The 24675-nt window shown below is 41.9% G+C and overlaps 1 protein-coding gene across 11 annotated transcripts in view, besides 2 other annotated features; it reads right to left on the bottom strand.

The window, feature by feature from the left end:
* The window catches only part of FDFT1 (farnesyl-diphosphate farnesyltransferase 1), a 43717-nt gene that overhangs the window by 5077 nt on the left and 13965 nt on the right, over positions 1-24675 (bottom strand). For 10 of the 11 annotated variants that reach the window (NM_001287742.2, NM_001287743.2, NM_001287744.2 and 7 more), the window contains 5 exons: positions 24372-24555; positions 12344-12472; positions 8007-8198; positions 3802-3978; positions 2552-2704 (listed from right to left, as the gene is read on the bottom strand). In NM_001287742.2, coding sequence (NP_001274671.1) covers positions 2552-2704; positions 3802-3978; positions 8007-8198; positions 12344-12472; positions 24372-24555 — 835 coding nt within the window. The remainder of the gene's footprint in view (positions 1-2551; positions 2705-3801; positions 3979-8006; positions 8199-12343; positions 12473-24371; positions 24556-24675) is intronic. The other variant, NM_001287756.2, reaches the window with a different exon arrangement.
* Positions 13536-13585: an enhancer, noted in NCBI's record as "active region_27035". NCBI's record gives its function as "activates an Ori minimal core promoter by ATAC-STARR-seq in GM12878 lymphoblastoid cells {active_cell/tissue: GM12878}" and the evidence as "EXISTENCE:reporter gene assay evidence [ECO:0000049][PMID:35858748]".
* Positions 13596-13645: an enhancer, noted in NCBI's record as "active region_27034". NCBI's record gives its function as "activates an Ori minimal core promoter by ATAC-STARR-seq in GM12878 lymphoblastoid cells {active_cell/tissue: GM12878}" and the evidence as "EXISTENCE:reporter gene assay evidence [ECO:0000049][PMID:35858748]".

Below are 24675 nucleotides of genomic sequence, written 5' to 3'. Positions count from 1 at the left end.
CAAGCCCCCACTAAGCACTGGAGAAGCATGAGGAGGTCCTCTGGCAAGTCCCTTCCAGGTGCATGCTCGCTACAACACTAAGTCCAGAGATCGGACAGAGTCAACGTTTCTTCCTTTCTTACTACAAAGGACAGACTTGGTCAGCAAGGAGAAATAGGATCAGTGTTAATATCTGGACACCAGCAAGAGGCCAGACGACTTGTGGCTTCATACAAAATGTTTTCATTTAAAACTTTACTTGTAAAATGTCCTTACTGCTGAAACTAAAACCATTAACAGGTTCTACTGCTTAAGACTTAGAAATCTTCAAAGATTTCCCTAAATCAAATCAACTTAAGTATTAATATTAACATTTCTCCCCTAATGCCTTGAGTTTTACTGGGATAACAGAACAACTGATACCCTAAGTCAGAAGTCAGCAAACCTCTTATTCAAGGGCCAAAAAATATTTTCAGCTTTACAAGTCATCGCCTGTTGCAGCTCCTCAACTCGGCCGTCACATTGCAAAAGCAGCCACAGAAGACAAAGAAGCAAATGGGTGTGGCTGTGTTCTGATAACATTTATTCACAAAAACAGGGCTCAGCCAACTGTAGACTGCCCACCCTCGCCCTCAAACTATGAATTACAACCAGGATTTAATCCCAATAGTTAAGGAAAAACCAAATAAATCTGAATTTTAATATAGTAATGGAATTGGCCACAAAGTGTTTAAAAACTGGTTTCTAAAACTAGTGATCAAACTGCAAAACCAAAACACTCTCAACTACTTACTACATAAAATGTTTCTAGTTTATATAAAATGAATAAATAGTGCTTAATATAGCAGGATTCCATTTAGAAAGGGTAGTTGAACCCCTTAGAATTGGGGTTAACATCATGGATTCTGATGTCAGACAGACCTGGGTTCAAATTATGACCCTAGCCATGAGGCTGGGGCCTCAAGTTTCCCTGAGATTACTCCTACCCACCTACTTGGTCACTACCCCAGGCACATAGATCAAAGTAAGTTCTGGCTACATGGCAAAATGGAGAGTCTCATTGGTAGCAATTTTTTGGGTCACTGGCTGAATATTTTCATCTAGTGACTACAAAATTTTAGGGTTTTTAAAAGCGATGTGGTCTTCCCTTAGACTTCCATAGGTGCCTCTGATAGAAGTTCTGGACATACAGCATTTCTGTGTCAGATAAAGGTAGGGAGGAAGTATAAGAAGAATGTGCAATATGCAAGAGAAATCAGAAATCGCTATTTTGTATAATTCTATTTAGATGAAAACACTGTTGCAAACCATATTCCTGTAAACGCGTAACAGGGGGACTAGACGGATGCACAAAACCATGAACAGAGGTAACCTCTGGGGAGGGAGCTCAGGCAAAGGAAAAATGATGAGGGTCTTGTATGTTTTCATAAAGTCTACAGTGTTTCATTCTCAACAGGATCACACCTGAGGATCACAGCATCATCCTGGGCCTCTACTCACCAGATGCCAGTAGCACCCGATTCCTGCCGGTTAGGACAATCAAAAATGTCTCCAGACATTGTCCAATGTCCTCTGGGGGGAGGGGAGCAAATCACCTCCATTTACAAACCACTGCTCTAGGGCCTAGAGATTATTAGAGATTACAAAGACTTCTGGTCTCTAAGACTTTTTTTTTTTTTTTTTTTTTTTTTGAGACAAAGTCTCACTCTATCACCCAGGCTAGAGTGCAATGATGAAATCACACAGCTTACTGTAGCCTCGACCTCTCAGGCTCATGTGATCCACCTGCCTCAGCCTCCTGAGTAGCTGGGACCACAGGCGTGCACCACCATGACAATTTTTAAATTTTTTGTAGAAATGGGGTCTTGCTATGTCGCCCGGGCTGGTCTTGAATTCCTGGCCTCAAGTGATCCTCCCACCTTGGTCTCCCAAAGTGCTGGGATTTCAGGAGTAAGCTACTGTGCCTGGCCAGAAATAAACTTTTTGAACCTAGTCAAATATTAGAGATTTGACCTAAGAAGGTAAGTTTTCTTTTTATAGGATGGTTTTGGTATTTGAAATGAAATTTTCCAAAGAAAATTTAGGAAATAATTGCAACTTGATGGCTTTCCTTGGCCTAAATTCCCTACTGTGATTTTTCAATTGAGGCCTGTGGCATAATGAAAGTACCAGACTGGGTGTCAGGACACATGGACGGGAGCCAGAGATCCACTCAATCACGCACTGCATCAGCACAGACAAGCTTCAACCTCACATTCCTCACCAGCAACAAGAAGCTTGGTTGGCCTCCTGCATCATCTTGCAGCTCAAAATCTATGATTCTACTGAGGGGCTCCAACCTACAGCCTTGCTCCATTTATCTCCTCTCACCAGGGTACTACACAGCAGTGAGCAATCTGCTCGGCTCCTGTGAATAGACTTTTTTCCTTATAAAGGATATCAATTCCTGTCTCTTTAGGCCACAGGATAGTGAATTGTTAGGATCATCTAATATCCAAACCTGGTTAAACAGTGACATTACTAAATCATAAAAGTAGCTACAAATTATCCAAGTAGTTAAATAAAAACCCACCTCTTCCATATACTGATATATGATGGCTTTGACAGCTGGCATATTGGTGGCATCCATCATCAGGGTCACTGCTTGCCCTTTCCGAATCTTCACTGCCCCTTTGAACACCTGCTGGTTATTATAACAGGCAGCCAAAGTGGCAATGGCCATCACCTAGAGACAACAAGAAGAGAGGGAAAAAAGAAGAAATGATGTCGTTAGCTATCATTATCACAAAAAGGTAAGAAAACCTTCTGTTGAATGGGCAATTGCTAACTGCTAATCAACTAAGATGGAATCGCTCAAGAAAAAATACCCACGAAGAAAGTATGTCAAGATTTTTACCTTCCCCACTCCTCCCTTTCTCAACAACACACAGAATTAAGCAGTCTAAAACAATTCTATAATGTAGCCACAAAAGTTCCATTTTATTTGGAAAAAGCAAACACAAGTAAATCCAACATTTTCCATGCTAGAGCAATGGATTATCGGATCGGAAATATGTATTTCAAAATAATATATGGGAAGAATTTTCTATTGTAGTTGTTTTTCTATTTTTCCTACAACAAACATAATCATTATATATTTAAAACCAATGCCAGGGGGAGAACAACCAGAAGGGGATTAATTTCCTGTGCTCAAAGGTAAAGTATTTCTAGGTAAATGGAAACATAAGACGGCGATACAGATTTTACTTTCAACCACCATTCGAAGTTGGTCATTAGAACAAGATCAAACCAAGTTCCCAAATCAGTTAAATGCTGTTACTTTCTTCACTTATTTGCAGTAGTATCTGCAATACTTGGTAAAGGCAACTAAAAAGTGTAAGTTCCTAGCATACTGAGAGGCTAGGTCTACCGGACCAGGTTCTTTTTATGCCGGGTCTAGGAAAAGGACAGCAGTAATTAGGTGCTTAATGAAGACTTTTTAATGATAACAGCTTCACCCAGGTTTTACCCAGCACTCCCCATAAATCTAAGCCAAAGACCTTGACTTAACTGTGAGGAAAAGAACCTAACTAGTTTAGGATAGCTGTAGAAAATAGTAAATCCAGAAAGAAGGTTCTGAAAAGGAGCAGGCTTAACCTCAAGGCTGAGCTGAGTTTGGTGGCTGGAAGCAAAGGCGGGTGCTATGAAACTCCCAGCGTAATAAACTGGAGTCATCGTCTTTTTAAGGAATCATATCCTTGAATATAGCACAGCAAAATCCACCCTTACTCCTACCCCACTCCCTTTAGCCCCGTATCCACCCAGAGGAGCCCCCTTCCCTACCTGTGGAATAGCACAGAAGTTAAACACACTCTGGTTTCTGAGTCTCGAAAGGTAGGTGATGACATCTGGGATGTGGTGCAGTGCATTGGTTATAAGTTCATTCAGGCACTGCACGGCCAAGTCAATATTCTCCGGCTTAGCAAAATCCCCTAACTTCTTAACATACCTGCTCCAAACCTAGACAGATAAGAAGATTAAGGAACAGGTCAGCGTGTGCATAGGGGAGAATTTACAAACAATATTAAAGGGTCTTTGTGCATAAGAACTATGATACAGGCTGGGCGCCGTGGCTCACGCCTGTAATCCCAGCACTTTGGGAGGCCGAGGAGGGTGGATCACGAGGTCAGGAGTTCAAGACCAGCCTGGCCAAGGTGGTGAAACCCTGTGTCTACTAAAAATACAAAAACTAGCCGGGTACGGTGGCAGGCGCCTGTAATCCCAGCTACTCAGGAGGGTGAGACAGAAGAATTGCTTGAACCTAGGGGGCGGAGGTTGCAGTGAGTCAAGATCTCGCCATTGCACTCCAGCCTGGGTGAAAGAGTGAGACTCCGTCACAAAAACAAAAACAAAACAAAACAAAAAAAAACACTATGATATACAGTAAAGTCTCTTAGCTGCAGACTCATCTTTCACGAAGATCAAGTTCATTTTAAGCTCCATGCAATAGCTATTTCTGACTACCAGTAAGTGTCCAGTTGCAACCTGGAAGTGAGTTACGTATTGGGGAGCATGTCCCGAGGGACAACTAGTGCAACACTGCACTACTTGGACGAATTCAGGCTAAAGAGGCTCCTGTTAGAGCTACTGGCCTACTTCTGAAAAAAATAACCCAATATACAAAAACAGTTATAATTGTACTGCAGACTAAACAGTAAACCTTCTCAAGATGGCCAGGCCTCTAAATAATGACTAACATTATATTCCTACTCTGGTAAGAAAGCTGCTGAAAGGCATAGCTGGGAAATGAGCTGAGTCTATCCTCTAAGTGTATTACACCTCCCTGGATCCTGATAACTTGAAAGTGAAATAAAACCTTTAATTCTAACAGTGGGATTCGGCTTGATGATTTTTAATGATATTATTTAGAGGATTCTCTGAAGCTAGCGAAAGTTCTGGAAACATAGTGTTGATGGTTATATAACATCATTAATGTACTTAATGCCACTGAATAATAGACTTAAAAATAGTTAAAATGGCAAATTCTCTATTATGTACATTTATTATAAATAAAATGTTAAGTATATATACATACAGTTAAAAAGAGATAACAACAAGTGCTGGTGAAACTGGGACTCTCACACTGCTGACGGGAATGTAAAATGGTGGAGCGACCTTGGAAAAGCGTCTGGCAGCTCCTCACAAGGTTCGAGCTGCTGTATGAACCAGCAATTCCACTTCTCAGCATAGACCCAAGAAAAAGGAAAACACACATCTACACAAAAACTTATATGCAAATGTACACAGTACTATTCACCATAGCCAAAAAAAATGGGAAGAACCCAAATATCCTTCAACTGATGAATGGATAAATGTGGTCTATCCACACAGTGGAATAATACTAGGCGATAAAAAGGAATAAAGCAGTGATGCAATGCCCCAGCATGGAGGAGCCCTGAAAACATGCTAGCAAAAGAAGCCAATCACCTAGGACCACATTTGGCATGATTCAACTACTACGAAATGTCCAGAACCTTTACTAAGCACTCTATGCTAGAAGTTCATCTCATTTTATTCACACCACCACCGTGTGGTAGAAATGATGCTATTTTACAGATAAAGTAAGTGAATGAGAAGAGCAGGGCTCTGCTCCTGTGTGTGCAAGATGGTGTGGCTCACGCTCATGCATCACATGCCCGTGGCTGATGTTCTGTCTGGGAGACAATGGAACAGTGGTCAGGGGCTGGCCTAGGAGCCGGGAGACTGAGACTCCACTTCCAAGGCAGCCACTGCCTCACTATACATCCCCAGACAATCCCCTTCCCTTCTCTGAGCCCTGTGTCTGCAAAAGAGGGGTAAGACAAGAGTGGTTTCTCAACCCTGGCTGCACACGAGTCACCTAGGAAACTTAAAAGGCCATGTCTGAGCTGAGGGAAGTGTTTTTTGTTTTTTTGTTGTTGTTTGTTTGTTTTGAGACAAGGGTTTTGCTCTGTCTCCCAGGCTGCTAGAATGCAGTGGTGCGATCATGGTTCACTGCAGCCTTGAACTCCTGGGCTCAGGCAATCCTCCTGCCTCAACCTCCCAAGGAGCGAGAACTATAGGGGTGTGCCACTATACCCAGCTAATTTTTGATTTTTTTTTTTTAAATGGAGTCTCACATCAGCCTCCCAAGTAGCTGGCCCTACCAGCGTATGCCACCACACTTGGCTAATTTTTGTAATTTTAGTAGAGACGGAGTTTTGCCATGTTGGCCAGGCTGTTCTCAAACACCTGACCTCAAGTGATCCACTCACCTGGGCTTCCCAAAGTGCTGGGATTATAGGCAGGAGTCACTGTGCCCGGCCAATTTTTACTGTTTTTTTTGTTTTGTTTTGTTTTGTTTTGTTTTAAGAGATAAGGTCTCACTACGTTGTCCAGGCTGGTCTCGATATCCTGGCTTCAGTGATCTTCCTACCTTGGTCTCCCAGTGTTGAGATTACAGGCGTGAGCCACCTTGCCCAGCCCCCAGAGTAGTTTAAATGTGAATTTTTCTTAGGAGTAAGACTCAGCATCTTTTCAGATTTTTAATAATCATCTGTGTGTCTCTTCCTGTGAACTATCTTGTTCTTATCTCCTTGCCCATTTTTCTGTGGGGCAGTTGGCCTTTTTCTTAACTTTTAGAAGTTTTTTTTAATATTAGGAATATGAACCCTGTATCTGCTCTATGAATTGCAAATATTGTTTCCCTCTGTCACTTTTTTTTTTTCTTGAGACAGTTTCATTCTGCCACCGAGGCTGGAGTGCAGTGGTGTGATTACAACTCAATCCAACCTTGAGCTCCTGCGCTCAAGGGATCCTTGTGCCTTAGCCTCCCGAATACCTAGGAATACAGGTGCATGCCAACATGCCCAGTTAATCTTTTAAATTTAGTTTTATTTTTTCTACTTTCTTTAATTTTTATTTTTGCTCTTTCAGCAGAATCATTTTCTAACAATTTTTTATAGAGATGGTATCTTGCTGTGTTGCTCAGGCTGGTCTTGAACTCCTGGCCTCAGCACTGGGATTATAAGTATGAGACACCACACTTAGCCTCACCCGTCTTTTTAAAACTTTAAAGTACTTGGCTGCAGGAAACACTTTTATGGAAAGCAAAAGGTAAATGCTGGAATAAATTCAGGGAACAGTCATAAAATTTTCTACTTTCCTTCTGAACAAAATCAGTATCAAAAGCTTTCTGTTCCCTGTCCATGTTTTAATTAAAGATCGACCCTGTCCCTTATTACAGACACCTGGAGTTTTTGTCTACCTGCCATCCCTTTCCCCTTCCTGCTGCAGAATTCTTTCTTTGGGGGAAATCCATTCTGTGTGTACTGTGTAGACGTAATCCAGGCGAGGCCAGAGAACTCAGCTGTGTAGCAACAGTAACTGATTCAGGGCTGAGCAGAAGAACCAAGCCCTTCCTCTTCTTTTGAGAGGGAGTCTCACTCTGTCGCCCAGGCTGGAGTGCAGTGGCACAATCTGAGCTCACCGCAATCTCTGCTTCCTGGGTTCAAGCGATTCTCCTGCCTCAGCCTCCCAGGTAGCTGGGATTACAAGCCCTTGCCACCACGCCCGGCTAATTTTTGTATTTTTTAGTAAACACGGGGTTTCACGATGTTGGCCAGGCTGGTCTCGAACTCCTGGCCTCAGGTGATCCGCCCACCTTGGCCTCTCAAACTGTTGGGATTACAGGCATGAGCCACTGCGCCAGGCCGAACAAAGCCATTCCTAAGAACTTTTTGTTAAGCTAGTGCACATGGGTTGTTACCATATCCACCACTTGGAGAAAGACCGTCTGAAAGAAATCAAGGACAGCAAGGCTTGAATATACTGATTACGTGGTGTGAATCCTGGGAGTCAGCCAGTCTACCTGAAGCAAACTCATGTCAAGCTATCCTATTTTCCACATCCCCTTATGCTGCCTGGGGGAGGCCTGACTTGTTTTTCTGTCACCCGCAACCACAAGAGTTAAAGGATTTTTCAGAGAATGTCTAAAGTTATTTTCCCCCAAAATACCCTGAATCTGTTACCTCTTGAGGCCAGAACTCTCTTCCTCCTTGCTGGTCTTCCAGATAGTCACGGATGATGTTTGTTTTCTGCAAAAACAGGCCCATAGAGTTGGCACGTTCTGTATCTTCACCAACTAAGGGGTCTTCAAACTCTGAGGCTGAGAAAAGACGGGAAAGGCCAATTCCGACCAGCCCAGCAACATAGTGGCAGTACTGTAAGAGACGATTTTTAAAGCACTTTAATAATGGAATTTTTACTGAAATGGACACACTAGAGATCATTAGCTACAAAAAAGCAGGTTCAAAAGAGAATGGGTAAGAATGCATTTTGATTTTAAAATACAAATATACATACCAGGATTTAAAAAACATTCAAGAAGGATGTGCTCAAAACATTTCATAGCAGTCTCTGGCTGACGGGAATTTGATGTTTTTATTTTTCACTTGTATTTTCCAAATTTCTACAATACACATGTACTGCTACTATAATAAAAGGCTACTGAAAAAAACTAGTAAACATTTTTTTATTTTTATTTTTTATTTTTTTTTTGAGATGGAGTCTCATATATTTGCCCACGTTAGACTCAAACTACTGGACCCAAGCAATCTTTCTGCCTCAGCTTCCCGAACAGCTGGGATTGTAGGCAAATACCACCGTGTCTAGCTTTACAATAACTTTTTTTTTTTTTTTTTTTTTGAGATCAAGTCTCACTTTGTCCCCTGGGCTGGAGTGCACTGGCACAATCTCAACTCACTGCAACCTCTGCCTCTTGGGTTCAAGTGATTCTCCTGCCTCAGCTTCCTGAGTAGCTGGAATTAAAGCACCCACCACCACATCCAGCTAATTTTTTATTTTTAGTAGAGACGGGGTTTCACCATGTTGGCCACGCTGGTCTCGAACTCCTGACCTCAACTGATCTGCCAGCCTTGGCCTCCCAAAGTGCTGGGATTACCAGCCCAAGACACCGTGCCCGCCCTAGCTTTACAATAAACTTTTTGATACATAAAACTATGAGAGAAGGCAACGATGAAAGATGGAATATTCTGGTAACAGGAACTAGGACAATACCAACTATGGTTTAATCTTTTTTTGACCAATCTGATAACATGTCAAGATCCGCAGGCCCTCAAAATCATCATTATATGAAAGAACAAATAACTATTTTATGTTCTTGACACGGTTTTAAGAACTCTGCACATTCAGCCGGGCACGATGGCTCATGCCTGTAATCCCAGCACTTTGGGAAGCTGAGACGGGCGGATCACGAGATCAGGAGATCAAGACCATCCTGGCTAAGACGGTGAAACCCCGTCTCTACTAAAAATACAAAAAAATTAGCTGGCCTGGTGGCGGGTGCCTGTAGTCCCAGCTACTCAGAAGGCTAAGGCAGGAGAATGGCGTGAACCCAGGAGGTGGAGCTTGCAGGGAGCCGAGATCGCGCCACTGCACTCCAGCCTGGGCGACAGAGTGAGACTCCGTCTCAAAACAACAACAACAGAAAAAAAGAACTCTGCACATTCAATCCTCACAAACATTGTATCAGGTACATAGCAGTATGATCTCCATTTCAGATGAGGAAACTGAGGCACAAAGAAGTCGATTTAACTTGCCCAACATTGCCCATGTGAGAAAAAAAAAAAATTAGCCAGGCACAGTGACACAGGCCAGTGGTCCCAGTTACTCAGGGGGCTGAAGTAGGAGGCTCGCTTGAACCCAGGAAGGTTCAAGGGGCTGCCGTGTCTGTGGCAGGGGCTAAGAGTTCAAAACTAGGTAGTATGACTTAAGTGTCAGGCTTTAACAACTTTGCTAAAACTTCCCCTTTTCTTTTTAGTTTTTCTTTTAGAGACAACGTAACTTCCCCTCTCTCAACAGAGATTTCAGTAAATGCAACTCTTAATTGCCAAATACTTTTTTTTTCCGCGACAGCAATTTGTCAAAAGCTGTCCTCCTCTGAAAAGGGTATCCTAAGACAACTTAATGCAATATCCACATACAATAATTGTCTATTAGTTAACTTAAGAAGCAAAAGTAAAGAAGGTAAGCTCTGGAGTGTCATTAGGAAGGGTAAAAGTTAGGAAATGACCGAAGTTCACGCCTGTAATCCCGGAATTTTGGGAGGCTGTGGAGAGGGGACTGCTTGAGCCCAAGAGTTTTAGACCAGCCTGGCCAACAAAGCAAGACCTCATCTCTGTAAAAAATTTTAAAAGGCTGAGTGTAGTGGCTCACACCTGGGAGGCTAAGGCAGGTGAATCGCTTGAGCCCAGGAGCTCAAGACCAGCCTAGGCAACACGATGAAACCCTGTCTCTACCAAAAAATTACAAAAATTAGCCTGGTGTAGTGGTGTGGACCTATAGTCCCAGCTAATGGGGAGGCTGAGGTGAGAGGACTGCTTGAGCACAGGAGGTGAAGGCTGCAGTGAGCCTTGATCATGCCACTACACTCCAGCCTGGGTGACAGAGCAATACCCTGTCTCAAAAATAATAAAAATTAAAATAAATTAGCCAGGCATGGTGGCAACGTGCCTGTGGTCCCAGTTACTCAGGAGGCTGAGGGCAAGGAAGATTGCTTGAGCCCAGAAGGTCAAGGCTGCCTTGTCTGTGCCACTGCATTCCAGTCTGGGTGACAGAGTGAGACCCTGTCTCAAAAAAAAAAAGTCGTCTCTGACTGAAAGTAATACAAAGCCAGAGACTAATCAGGGGGAAGAATGCACAGGTGAAGAGAAAGCACTTGAAATTTGTTCTGGGACAAAAGTAACATGAAAAGAGTGAAATCTTGCTGAAATTAGGTAGACAGAAATTGGCTTTGGACAGCTATACAAAATCTTCAAAAGAATTACTAGAAATTTAAAAAAAAATTAGTATATCTATAGTACTATCCAAAAATATATTTGAAGATAATAGTTCTTTTGGTAGAAATACTCCTAAAATGGAGACTTATATAATTCATCTTCCCCCAAAGTAGAAGAAAAAAAATAACTCCTTGAAATAATTGGCTGGTCATGCCTGTAATCCCAACATTTGAGAGGCCAGAGTGGGAGGACTGTTTGATGCCAGGAGTTTGAGACTAGCCTGGGCAACATGGCAAAACCCTCTCTCTACAAAAAATGTACAAAAATGAGCCTGGTATGGTGTCATGCACTGTAGTTACAGCTACTCGGTAGGCTGAGGTGGGAGGATCACCTGAGCCCAGGAGGTTGAGGCTGCGGGGAGCCGTGATCACACCACTACACACCAGCCTGGATAACAGCAAGACCCTGTCTCAAAAAAAATTTTTTTTAATTCAATTTTATCTGATCAAAACTTCTATTCAACAACCTAAAATTAAGTTTCCTGAATAAATCTGCACAACAGAAAATGAGTTACTATCATAACCAGTGCTGGTTCTTGGCCAGAAGTTTTAACTTCAACTTTATTTTCTTTCAGATGGTGTCTTGCTCTGTCACCCACGTTGGAGTGCAGTGGCACAATCATGGCTCACTGCAACCTTCAACTCTTGGGCTCAAGCAATCCTCCCACACCTCAGCCTCCAGAGTAGCTGGGACCACAGGCACATGCCACCAATTCCCTGCTCATTTTTTAATTTTTTGAAAGACGGGGTCTCGCTATGTTGCTTAGGCTTGTGTCTAACTCCTGGGCTCAAATGATCCTCCCACCTCAGCCTCCCAAAGTGCTGAGATTACAGGTAAACCATAGTACCCGGCTAACTTCACCTTAAATGCAGAAATTGATTTCTAGCAGTCATTGTATGCTGTTAACTTAGGAAGCACAAATCAGCAGTTCCAAAGATAACTGCTGTCAAGTTTTGAGGTTTGAAAAATTAAGAGGCCCAAGACCTTGGACCTACACTAACGTAGTGACCATGTAGCAGCATCTTTTCGGAGATCCTAATTTAAGCACAGTTAAAGGTATGAAATACATCAACACTTTAGATGTCTGAAATGTCTCTGCCTGCTAAATCTGACTGGCTTTAAAATAAATAAATAAAATGTCTTTACTTCCACAGAAGTGATGAGTAAGTCTCACAAACACCATTCCTATGAAAAATAGGCAAGACTCCTAACCCTACCTTATGTTTTGATGTGTAGTTTTAATCTTCATGGTCAATTACATCCCTTTGTCTAGATAAGCACTTCTCTCCAGTACCCTACTCCTAGCCTGGCTGATATCCTACATAGCTGCTGGTTTGGAATTAACTCTGGAATAAACTGTTTATGATGAGACATTCAACCTAAACAGATGAATTGTAAAACCAGAGGGGCTGAAAATACTGGACAACTTTTCTTGTTCTGAGCTTCACTATGAGGACTGCCAGCTCTGTCTAATACATCACACACAGACACTGTTTTATGAGACTAACCTTGTCCCACTCCTGTTCAGAGGTCACATGCTTATCCAAAAACTCTGCCATCCCAATGCCCATTCTCCGGCAAATGTCGGCAATCACTGTTTGGTATTTCTCAGCCAGATTTCTAAACTCAAGGGAGATCTGAAATGGAAACCGTAAAAACACAGAAATCATGAAATATGTACAGACATGGCACCAAAGATCACAAGGCAAACAATGGCGGAATTAATCATGACTGCAATGGTTCATCTATAAGCCTAATTTAGGTCACACATTTTTTTTGTTTTTGTTTTTGTTTTTGAGATGGAGTCTCGCAATGTTGCCCAGGCTGGAGTGCAATGGCACGATCTCAGCTCACTGCAAACTCCGCCTCCCAGGTTCAAATGATTCTCCTGCCTCAGCCTCTCCAGGAGCTGGCATTACAGGCATGCACCACCACGCCCAGCTAATTTTTATATTTTTAGTAGAAGTGGGGTTTCACCATGTTGGCCAAGCTGGTCTCAAATTCCTGACCTCATGATCCACTAGCCCTGGCCTCCCAAACTGCTGGGATTACAGGCATAAGCCACTGAGCCCGGCCTCATGTTTCTTATTATTTCATAAATTTCATAAATATTAAAATAGAATGGTCTAAAAATGCTAATGTTTCTAGATTCAAAAGAAGATTCAAAGTCTCACTACACATTTCATCTTTCCAATGTATAATGAGATGCTTCAACATAAAGCTGGGTTTAAGTTTTTGGGAGAACAGCTTGTTTAGAGAAACCTCATTATGAGAAAGATTCATTTGTGCAAACATGGATCAAGCACTTCCTATGTAACAAGTATCATTCTAGGCACTGGGGATATACATCAGGGCAACAAACAGAAACTCAGACCCAGAGTTGCTTCCAAGATGTCCCAGTAGGAACAGCTCTGGTCTACAGCTCCCAGCAAGATCGATGCAGAAGATGGGTGATTTCTGCATTTCCAACTGAGGTACCTGGTTCATCTCACTGGCACTGGTTGGACAGTGGGTGCAGCCCATGGAGGGTGAGCCAAAGCAGGGCAGGACGTCACCTCATCCAGGAAGTGCAAGGGGTCAGGGGATTTCCCTTTCCTAGCCAAGGAAAGGCGTGAGTGACTGTACCTGGAGGAACAGTATACTCTGCCCAAATACTGTGCTTTTCCCAGTCTTCGCAACTGGCAGAGCAGGTGATTGCCTCCAGTGCCTGGCTCGGGGGGTCCCATGCCCATGGAACCTTGCTTGCTGCTAGCCAAGCAGTCTGAGATCAAGCTGGGATGCTGGAGCTTGGTGAGGGGAAGCGCCTCCCCGCCATTGCTGAGGCTTCAGTACGCACTTCTATGCTCACAGTGTAAACAAAGCAGCAAGGAAGCTTGAACTGGGTGGAGCCCACCGCAGCTCAGCAAGGCCTACTGCCTCTCTAGATTGCATCTCTGGGGGCAGGGCATATCTAAACAAAAGGCAGCAGACGGCTTCTGCAGATTTAAACATCCCTGCCTGACAGCTCTGAAGAGAGCAGTGGTTCTCCCAGCTCGGCATTTGAACTCCAGTAACGGACAGACTGCCTCCTCAAGTGGGTCCCTGAGCCCCATGTAGCCTGACTGGGAGGAGACACCTCCCAGTAGGGGCCGACAGACACCTCATATAGGTGGGTGTCCTTCTTGGACGAAGCTTCCAGAGGAAGGATCAGGCCGCGATATTTGCTGTTCTGCAGCCTCCACTGGTGATACCCAGGTAAACAGGGTCTAGAGTGGACCTCCAGCAACTCCAACAGACCTGCAGCTGACGGGCCTCTGTTAGAAGGAAAACTAACAAACAAAGGAATAGGATCAATATCAACAAAAAGGACACCCACACCAAAACCCATCTGTACGTCACCAAAATCAAAGACCAAAGGTAGATAAAACCACAAAGATGGGGAGAAACCACAGCAGAAAGGCTGAAAATTCCAAAAACAGAACGCCTCTTCTCCTCCAAAGGAACGTAACTCCTCACCAGCAAAGGAACAAAACTGGATGGACAATGAGTTTAACGAGTTGACAGAAGTAGGCTTCAGAAGGTTGGTAATAACAAACTTCTCCAAGCTAAAGCAGCACGTTCTGACCGATCGCAAGGAAACTTAAAACCTTGAGAAAAGGTTGGACAAATGGCTAACTAGAATAACCAGTGTAGAGAAGAGCTTAAATGACCTGATGGAGCTGAAAACCAAAGTACAAGAATTTCACAAAGCATAAACAAGCTTCAATAGCCGATTCGATCAAGCAGAAGAAAGGATATCAGTGATCGAAGATCAAATTAATGAAATAAAGCAAGAAGACAAGATTAGAGAAAAAAGAATGAAAAGAAATGAACAAAGGCTTCAATAAATATGCGACTATGTGAAAAGACCAATGCTATGATTGTTGTACCTGAAAGTGATAGACAGAATGGAACCAAGTTACAAAACACTCTTCAGTATATTATCCAGGAGAACTTCCCCAACCTAGCAAGGCAGGTCAACATTCAAATTCAGGAAATACAGAGAACACCACAAAGATATTCCTCGAGAAGCGCAATCCCAAGATACGTAATTGTCAGATTCACCAACGTTGAAATGAAGGAAAAAATGTTAAGGGCTGCCAGAGAGAAAGGTCGGGTTACCCACAAAGGGAAGCCCATCAGACTAACAGCAGATCTCTCAGCAGAAACCCTACTAGCCAGAAGAGAGTGGGGGCCAATATTCAGCATTCTTAAAGAATTTTCAACCCAGAATCTCATAACCAGCCAAACTAAGTTTCACAAGTGAAGGAGAAATAAAATCCTTTACAGACAAGCAAATGCTCAGAGATTTTGTCACCACCAGGCCTGCCCTAAAAGAGCTCCTGAAGGAAGCAGTAAAAATGGAAAGGAACAACTGGTACCAGCCACTGCAAAAACATGCCAAATTGTAAAGACCATCGAGGCTAGGAAGAAACTGCATCAATTAATGGGCAAAATAACCAGCAAACATCATAATGACAGATCAAATTCAAACATAACAATATTAACCTTAAATATAAGTGGGCTAAATGCCCCAGTTAAAAGACGCAGACTGGCAAATTGGATAAACAGTCAAGGCCCGTCACTGTGCTGTATTCAGGAGACCCGTCTCACGTGCAGAGATGCACATAGGCTCAAAATAAACAGCTGGAGGAAGATCTACCAAGCGAAAAAAAAAAGCAGGGAATGCAATCCTAGTCTCTAATAAAACAGACTTTAAACCAACTAAGATCAAAAGAGACAAAGAAGGCCACTACATAATGGTAAAGGGATCAATTCAACAAGAAGAGCTAACTATCTTAAACATATATGTACCCAATACAGGAGCACCCAGATTCATAAAGCAAGTCCTTAGAGACCTAGAAAAAGACTTAAAGTCTCTCATTATTATTGTGTGCGAGTCTAACATCCCACTGTCAATATTAGATAGATCAACAAGACAAAAGGTTAACAAGGATATCCAGGACTTGAACTCAGCTCTGGACCAAGCAGACCTAACAGACATCTACAGAACTCTCCACCCCAAATCAACAGAATATACATTCTTCTCAGCACCACATCGCACTTATTCTAAAATTGACCACAGAATTGGAAGAAAAACACTGCTCAGCAAATGTAAAAGAACAGAAATTACAACAAACTTTCTCTCAGACCACAGTGAAATCAAATTAGAACTCAGGATTAATAAACTCACTCAAAACCACACATCTACATGGAAACTGAACAACCTGCTCCTGAATGACTACTGGGTACATAACGAAATGAAAGCAGAAATAAAGATGTTCTTTGAAACCAATGAGAACAAAGACACAACATACCAGAATCTCTGGGACACATTTAAAGCAGTGTGTAGAGGGAAATTTATAGCACTAAATGCTCACAAGAGAAAGCAGGAAAGATCTAAAAACAACACCTTAACATCACAATTAAAAGAACTAGAAAAGCAAGAGCAAACAAATTGAAAAGCTAGTAAAAGGCAAGAAATAACTAAGATCAGAGCAGAACTGAAAGAGATAGACACACAAAAAACCCTTCAAAAAAAAAAATTAATGAATCCAGGAGCTGGTTTTTTGAAAAGATCAACAAAATTGATAGACCGCTAGCAAGAAGAAAAGACAGAAGAATCAAAAAGACGTAATAAAAAATGATAAAGGGGATATCACCACCAATCCCACAGAAATACAAACTACCACTGGAGAATACTATCAACACCTCTATGCAAATAAGCTAGAAAATCCAGAAGAAATGGATACATTCCTCGACACATACACTCTCCCAAGACTAAACCAGGAAGAAGTTGAACCTCTGAAATGACCAATAGCAGGCTCTGAAATTGAGGCAATAATTAATAGCCTACCAACCAAAGAAAGTCCAGGAACAGACAGATTCACAGCCGAATTCTACCAGAGGTACAAAGAGGAGCTGGTACCATTCCTTCTGAAACTATTCCAATAGAAAAAGAGGGAATCCTCCCTAACTCATTTTATGAGGCCAGCATCATCCTGATACCAAAGCCTGGCAGACAAACAATAAAAAAAGAGAATTTTAGGCCAATATCCCTGATGAACGTTGATGCGAAAATCCTCTATAAAATAATGGCAAATTGAATCCAGCAGCACATCAAAAAGCTTATCCACCACGATCAAGTCGGCTTCATCCCTGGGATGCAAGGCTGTTCAACATACACAAATCAATAAACATCATCCATCACATAAACAGAACCTATGACAAAAACCACATGATTATCTCAATAGATGCACGAAAGGCCTTTGACAAAATTCAACAGTCTTTCATGCTAAAAACTCTCAGTAAACTAGATATTGATGGAACGCATCTCAAAATAATAAGGAGCTATTTATGACAAACCCAAAGCCAATATCATACTGAATGGGCAAAAACTGGAAGCATTCCCTTTGAAAACCTGCACAAGACAAGGATGCCGTCCTCTCACCACTCCTATTCAACACAGTATTGGTAGTTCTGGCCAGGATAATCAGGCAAGAGAAAGAAATAAAGGGTATTCAATTAGGAAAAGAGGAAGTAAAATTGCCTGTTTGCAAATGACATGATTGTATATTTAGAAAACCCCATCGTCTCAGCCCTAAATCTCCTTAAGCTGATAAGCAACTTCAGCAAAGTCTCAGGATACAAAATCAATGTGCAAAAAATCTCAAGCATTCCTATACACCAATAACAGACAAACAAGGAGCCAAATCATGAGTGAACTCCCATTCACAATAGCTACAAAGAGAATACAACACCTAGGAATCCAACTTACAAGGGATATGAAGGACCTCTTCAAAGAGAACTACAAACCACTGCTCAATGAAATAAAAGAGGCCATAAACAAATGGAAGAACATTCCATGCTCATGGATAGGAAGAATCAGTATCGTGAAAATGGCTATACTGCCCAAGGTAATTTACAGATTCAATGCTATCCCCATCAAGCTACCAATGACTTTCTTCACAGAATTGGAAAAAACTACTTTAAATTTCACATGGAAGCAAAAAAGAGCCTGCATAGCCAAGACAATCCTAAGCCAAAAGAACAAAGCTGGAGGCATCACGCTACCTGACTTCAAACTATACTACAAGGCTACAGTAACCAAAACAGCATGGTACTGGTACCAAAACAGATATGTACACCAATGGAACGGAACAGAGGCCTCAGAAATAACACTACACATCTACAGCCATCTGATCTTTGACAAACCTGACAAAAACAAGCAATGGAGAAAGGATTCCCTATTTAATAAATGCTGCTGGGAAACCTGGCTTGCCATATGTAGAAAGCTGAAACTGGATCCCTTCCTTACATCTTATACAAAAATTAACTCAAGATGGACTGAAGGCTTAAATATAAGGCCTAAAACCGTAAAAACCCTAGAAGAAAATGCAGTCAATACCATTCAGGACATAGGCATGGGCAAAGACTTCATGACTAAAACACCAAAAGCAATGGCAACAAAAGCCAAACTAGACAAATGGGATCTAATTCAACTAAAGAGCTTCTGCACAGCAAAAGAAACTATCATCAGAGTAAAAGGCAACCTACAGAATAGGAGAAAATTTTTGTAATTTATCCATCCAACAAAGGGTAGTATCCAGAATCTACAAAGAACTTAAAAAAAATTTACAAGAAAATCAACAACCCCATCAATAAGTGGGCAAAGGATATGAACAGACACTTCTCAAAGGAAGACATTTATGCAGCCAACAGACATATGAAGAAATGCTCATCACCACTGGTCATCAGAGAAATGCAAATCAAAACCACAATGAGATACCATCTCAAGCCAGTTACAATGGCGATCATTTAAAAAGTCAGGAAACAACAGATGCTGGAGAGGATGTGGAGAAACAGGACTAAATTTACACTGTTGGTGGGAGTGTAAATTAGTTCAACCATTGTGGAAGACAGTATGGTGATTCCCCAAGGATCTAGAACTAGAAATACCATTTGACCCAGCAATCCCATTACTGGGCATATACCCAAAGGATTATAACTCGTCCAACTATGAAGACACAAGCACATGTATGTTTACTGTGGCACTATTCACAATAGCAAAGACCTGGAACCAACCCAAATGTCCATCAATAATAGACTGAATAAAGAAAATGTGGCACATATACACCATGGAATACTACACAGCCATAAAAAAAGGATGAGTTCATGTCCTTTGCAGGGACATGGATGAAGCTGGAAATCATCATTCTGAGCAAAGTATCACAACGACAGAAAACCAAACACTACATGTTCTCACTCCTAAGTGGGAGTTGAACAATGAGAACACATGGACACAAGGAGGGGAACATCACATACCGGGGCCTGTTGTGGGGTGGGGGGCCAAGGGAGGGATAGCATTACGAGAAATACCTAATGTAAATGACGAGTTGATGGGTGTAGCAAACCAACATGGCACATGTATACCTATGTAACAAACCTGCACGTTGTGCACATGTACCCTAGAACTTAAAGTATAATAAAAGAAAAAGAAAAAAAAAAACTCAGACCCTTGAAGAGCTTAGATTCTAGTGAGCAGATCTGCCAACCATTTTATCTCATTAGTTACCCAATTTATATTATGAAGCTATAGAGTTTCTCTCACTATTAAGGCTATACTTTTAAATTCATTAAACAACTCAGTATGAGGCATGCTGCCCAATACTTTTTCCATAGTCCAAGCCCTAATGTAAAAAAGTTGAATTGATGTTTTTAAAATTTATTGTTACTGCCCAAATATCTTGTTTTAAGTTCAAAGAATTGTTTATAGGTTAGCAAAATACAATACAAAAACACCATGGGAAGTCTTAAAACATGAGAGCCTACAGATAATACTGCAAACAGTGAAGAGATTTGGTTAAACATTGAAAGTATGCAATATACCTGGTCTGTGTTTACAGAAAAGTTAGAAAAACTTCCTCGGAATACACCTAAAATTAAGAGCCCAGAGGAAAACCAGGTGGCCGGCTGATTGCAACATACCAGGAATACACATAATTTAGGATTTCTGATTAACATCAACTGTCAATACCCCCATGTCCCTCCAAAAAAAAAAAAAAAAACCTATAAAATCAATCTGGTACTTCCAGAACTTTCCAAAAAGTTTTTCTTTGCACAACAGCTGTTCAAGCCAATGTCAAAAGGTAATTCCTTCTTGTGGCTGAAACAAACCAGTGATTCTACAAGAGGTTATTAGAATCCCTGAATCTCCGTTGGACTCTGCTCATTCCACAGATCCTTGGTTAGACCAGTTCTATTTATTAGAGAGGAAAGGTCAATGAGGGTGGGAAGGAGCTTAGACTCCTCCAAAACACTTTCACTTCTGAACTTCACCTATCCTTCCAACGACTTTTTATTATTTATTACGTAATTGTACAGTTCTAAAAGTAAAAACAAAAATATACAGGAGAAAGTGACAATGAAGGGGTCCACGTTTTCCCCAGAAACCCAGAGGATGGACAGGGCTTTCCTGACTCCGCACTCAGTGCCCAGTTTCATATGTTCCCCGGATACGACCATAAGCCGTGACATGTGAATTGAGCCAGGAGGGCTTTTTCCGCTTCCAGGTAATTCTGTTTCACAACACAGTAGATTTCTATGTTCTCAGATCACTTTCTGATGGTTCCAAGTACAAGAAGGAAGGTCCCAGAGCGAGTTCACAGGGATAATGGAGAAAGGCCAAATCCCACATAGAGGGTAAGAGTAGCAGGGAATACAGATACAAATTCCTCTGATTAGAAACCTTAGAGGTAGTAAAGTATGCGAGTGACTCAGCACAAGAGATCTGAAGCCAGACCTTCCAGATTCATTGATTCTGTCACTTAACTTCACGGGTAATCCTAGGCAAAGTACTTAATTTCTCTGTGCCTCAGTTTCCTCATCTAGATAAAATGTAGATAACAGTACATTATGTACTAGGTAATTTCCCTGTTAAACGATGTTATAGATCAAATAACACAAAGAGTAAATTAACGATGAAATATATTTAGTAAGTAACTCATAGTAAAATGCTCAATAAGTGAACACTATTATTGCTATTATCATTTAAAAATAAGGCTGTATTATTACTTAAGCTATGTTTACAGGTAGACTTCTAAGCCTTCTAGCTTTCCACTAGTACCAGGTGAGAAAGATACGTGCTCATGTACTGTATAATGATGTTTCAGTCAACGGAGACTGGAAATACAATGGTGGGCCCTTAAGACTGTAACACCCTGTTTTTACTATACCTTTTCTATGTTTAAATACACAAATACTTACCACTGTGCTCCAATTGCCTACAGTATTCAGTACAGTACCATCCTGTAGAGATGTGCAGCCTTGGAGCAATGGCCTGTACCACAGAGCCTACGTCTGTAGTAGCTATGCCATCTTGGTATGTGTAAGTACACTCTATGATGTTCACAGAATGATGAAATCATCTATCAATGCGTTTCTCAGAATGTATCCTGTGGCCATTCATTAAGTGATGCATGACTGTACTCTAATCGAACCCCTAACATACAATGAGATTTCTAGAAAGCCTGACTTGAACTGGTATCAACTAATGATCACTAAAGTATAAAGGATCAGGTTCAATCTACTGTACATCGAGGCGGAAGTCACTGGGTTAGAACACTGTATTGAGGCTTATTCCTAAATTCTGCAAGGCCTGGGATAAGAGGACAAATGGAGGCCCACATACTATATGTAGCTAAAAATTTAAAAATGATCAATCGAGCTAGTAACTTAAGTAAAATATATTGTATCCTCCTGCACTGACAAACTTATCTTTGTAACAACCTGGTTGATTCAGGTTTGAATTTAGAATTCTTAGTCCCTCAGAGTTTTATTCCAGAATGCAGCAGGGCACAGACAGCTGATCCCCATATCCCAGGCTCTTCCCTTCCACTGCTTCCTGAATCCCGCTCTCTCCAGCACTGGGAGGCACCTCACATTCATTTGAGAGGATATCCCAGCCCTCGGTGCCAGGATCCATCCACAACACTCCCCAACACAGCCCTTGGCCATCACTCAGGCCCAAGGGCACAGTCAATGGTGGCACGTTCCCACCTGGAGGAGATGGACTGACCTTAGGAAATAGACTGTGCGGACGCAGACGTGGGCTCAGGGATTTGGGGCAAGGAACTCCAGATGTCCAGAACGTGGTACAGAAGGAGAGCCCACGAGAGCTGAACAAGCACATTCCCATGGCCCCAGTGATCCCTCACCCCTTTGGGAGTGAGGGGGCCTAGAATGGGGCACTCTGAAGTGAGGAGTTTCACTTGCCCCAGTCTAAGAGCAGTACTGTGTGTGAGGCCAAGGTATCAGTCCTCTTTCACACTACTTGTTCCATCCTGGGACCTCTTAGCCAAAAGCTGATTGCAGGCCTAGCCCCAGACAACTGGTTTCAAAGACATACTGAGCTATATCAGCACATACACAAATCACTCCTTAAGAAGACAAGGCACTGTTAATTCCCATACAGTCCCATCTCAAACTGAATCACAGACTGGAGGGACCTACAACTCAAGTAGCTTAAAATTATATATGCACGCAAAACACACAACTTAGTACATCTTCATATTCGTAAGGATACAAAAGGTGAACAACAGTGAAAACAGCCGTGCCTGGCTTACGCCTTCTGCTCCCTTTTACTCTTCCCGGGGCAACTGTGCTTTCAAGAGGATGGAATCTCTAACTCTACTACCCAAAAAAGAAAACGATGAGTTCAGTGTTCACATCTGAAACCTTCCAGAACTAAGCATTATTTTTCCACTGGAACACTGTATGAACACAGGAAGACACTGAAGTTTCACAAACATGTTGGAATATCATCTGGAAATCTGACGGCGATATTCCCCAAAATTATGTTAGCATTCACACACTTTCATATTCCCTCACTTCTGCTGAGGGGATAGGGCTGCCTTGACTTAGCAATACCTAACACATTTATCCCATGCCCCAGAAATTTTTTAATTATTATGAATCCACTCAAGTCAAATGTAATTTGGCTGTTTCTAGAGGCTAGGTCCAGCTAGAATAATATTAGTTGTTTTTAAGTGAGAATGCACTTCCATTATAAATGGGGTATTACTACTTCCTCTGCTTCAGCAGAATTCAGAGGCCCATCAATGAATCGCCACAGATTTCCCATCAAAGGAAACCCATCCTCTGGTCATCAGGTGTCCTGTGAGAGTCAAATCACCAGGACCTTCCCAGGGTTACAGTTCTAATTCTCACCCAGCTAGTCGTCATAAATTTTCTTTCTTCTCTTGAATTGTACTGTATAAACTCGAATTATTCTTCAGCTATTTTCTTCTCATTTGTATTATGTTGTACTATATTTGGGCTTTGGTACTTAAGGTCTGATCTCAGCAATCTGAAACAGCCTTTGCACCGCAAGAGTCTTCCCCAAACATTCCTTTTTTTTTTTTTTTTTTTTTTTTTAAATATTGCTCCCATTATGCCCAAGAATCAAAGATTCTTTTGTTTGGGTGGAGGACTCTCTGTCCACTTAGCTCCCTCCCAACTCAGCTACAGATTAGGTTTGTTTCAATAACATAAGGACTGTTCTCCAAAAGCTCTGGCAACTGTGGACAAAAAGGGCTTCTTCGAGCTATTACACAACATGTGACTTTGCTAAATCAAACCTTTATTTATAAGATATGGAAGAATCAGTTATTTGTGTGATAAGACATGCGAATTCTAGGATAGTAGGACCTAGGCAGATGTCCACATGAACTTGAGGGACTTTAAAAATCTTAGGATTTTAACTATAACCCACTTTACTCCAACAAAATAGACCAAATAGCTAATACTTACAGAATACTTACCCTGTACCAGGCACTAAGTACTTTATATGTGCGAAATTAATCCTCTCAGCTCTAACTTTACAAACGAGGAGACGGAGACACAAAGCAGATAAGGAACTTGCCCAGGATCACAGGTGAAGTGGCAGAGGCTCGCCCTAGCTGCCAACAGACACCGCCCCCATGCCAGGCTGCTGCCCATCGTGAGCAGCAGTCCCATGCTACCAGGCTCCGGGTAGTCAAGAGGCCAGCAGTGTTACAGGTAGGCTGCATCATACAGTCGGCAGGCTTTTGTGAGCTAGCCTGAGAATCTTTCACAACACTAAAATTTGACTGCGTCTTCCCACAGGAAGAAACACTGGACTTCCAATACTGATAATAACAGCAGTAGCTAACATTCTAAGAGCATTACCTACGTTAATTCTTTGAATCCTCAGAATACCATGAGGTAGGTGTTATTATTACCCCTATTTTACAGATGAAGAAACTGAGGCACAGAGAGTCTTTGTAAGTAACCAACAGTTTAGTAAGTGGGAGATTTGAGATTCCAACCCAGGCAGCCTGGCTTCAGAGTCTTGGCTACCGGAGTTTTTAACCCTCACATTATGCTGCCCTCAGAATGCTTATTTAACCTTTCTCCACATGTATGGAGGCTACCGGACAACCACGTTAGCAATTATGAACACAACAGTCCGTAGACAAGATGCGTAACCCCACTCACCGTTGGGAAGTCCTCCAGCACCTGGCGATCCTTCTCCTTGCTCTCCATGAACCGCCAGTCTGGTTGGTAAAGGAAAGAGTGAAAGTTGTGTAACAGCGGGACCTTCTTTTCCACACTGATGGTCATGTCATCTTCCAGTGTGTCCAGAGCTCGGAGAACCAGATAAAATATGCACACTGCGTTGCTGTAAAAAAGGGAAAACTATTAATATATTGGAACAAACAGCCAAAGATTTTTTATTTTAAAATAACTTGTGCCTGGCCACTTTCTAAACCCATCTCACCCTTAACTCTAAAGAACTATA

This window comes from Homo sapiens, chromosome 8, assembly GCF_000001405.40.
Source record: "Homo sapiens chromosome 8, GRCh38.p14 Primary Assembly".
Lineage (NCBI taxonomy): Eukaryota > Metazoa > Chordata > Mammalia > Primates > Hominidae > Homo > Homo sapiens.
This window is presented reverse-complemented; position numbering and strand designations above follow the sequence as displayed.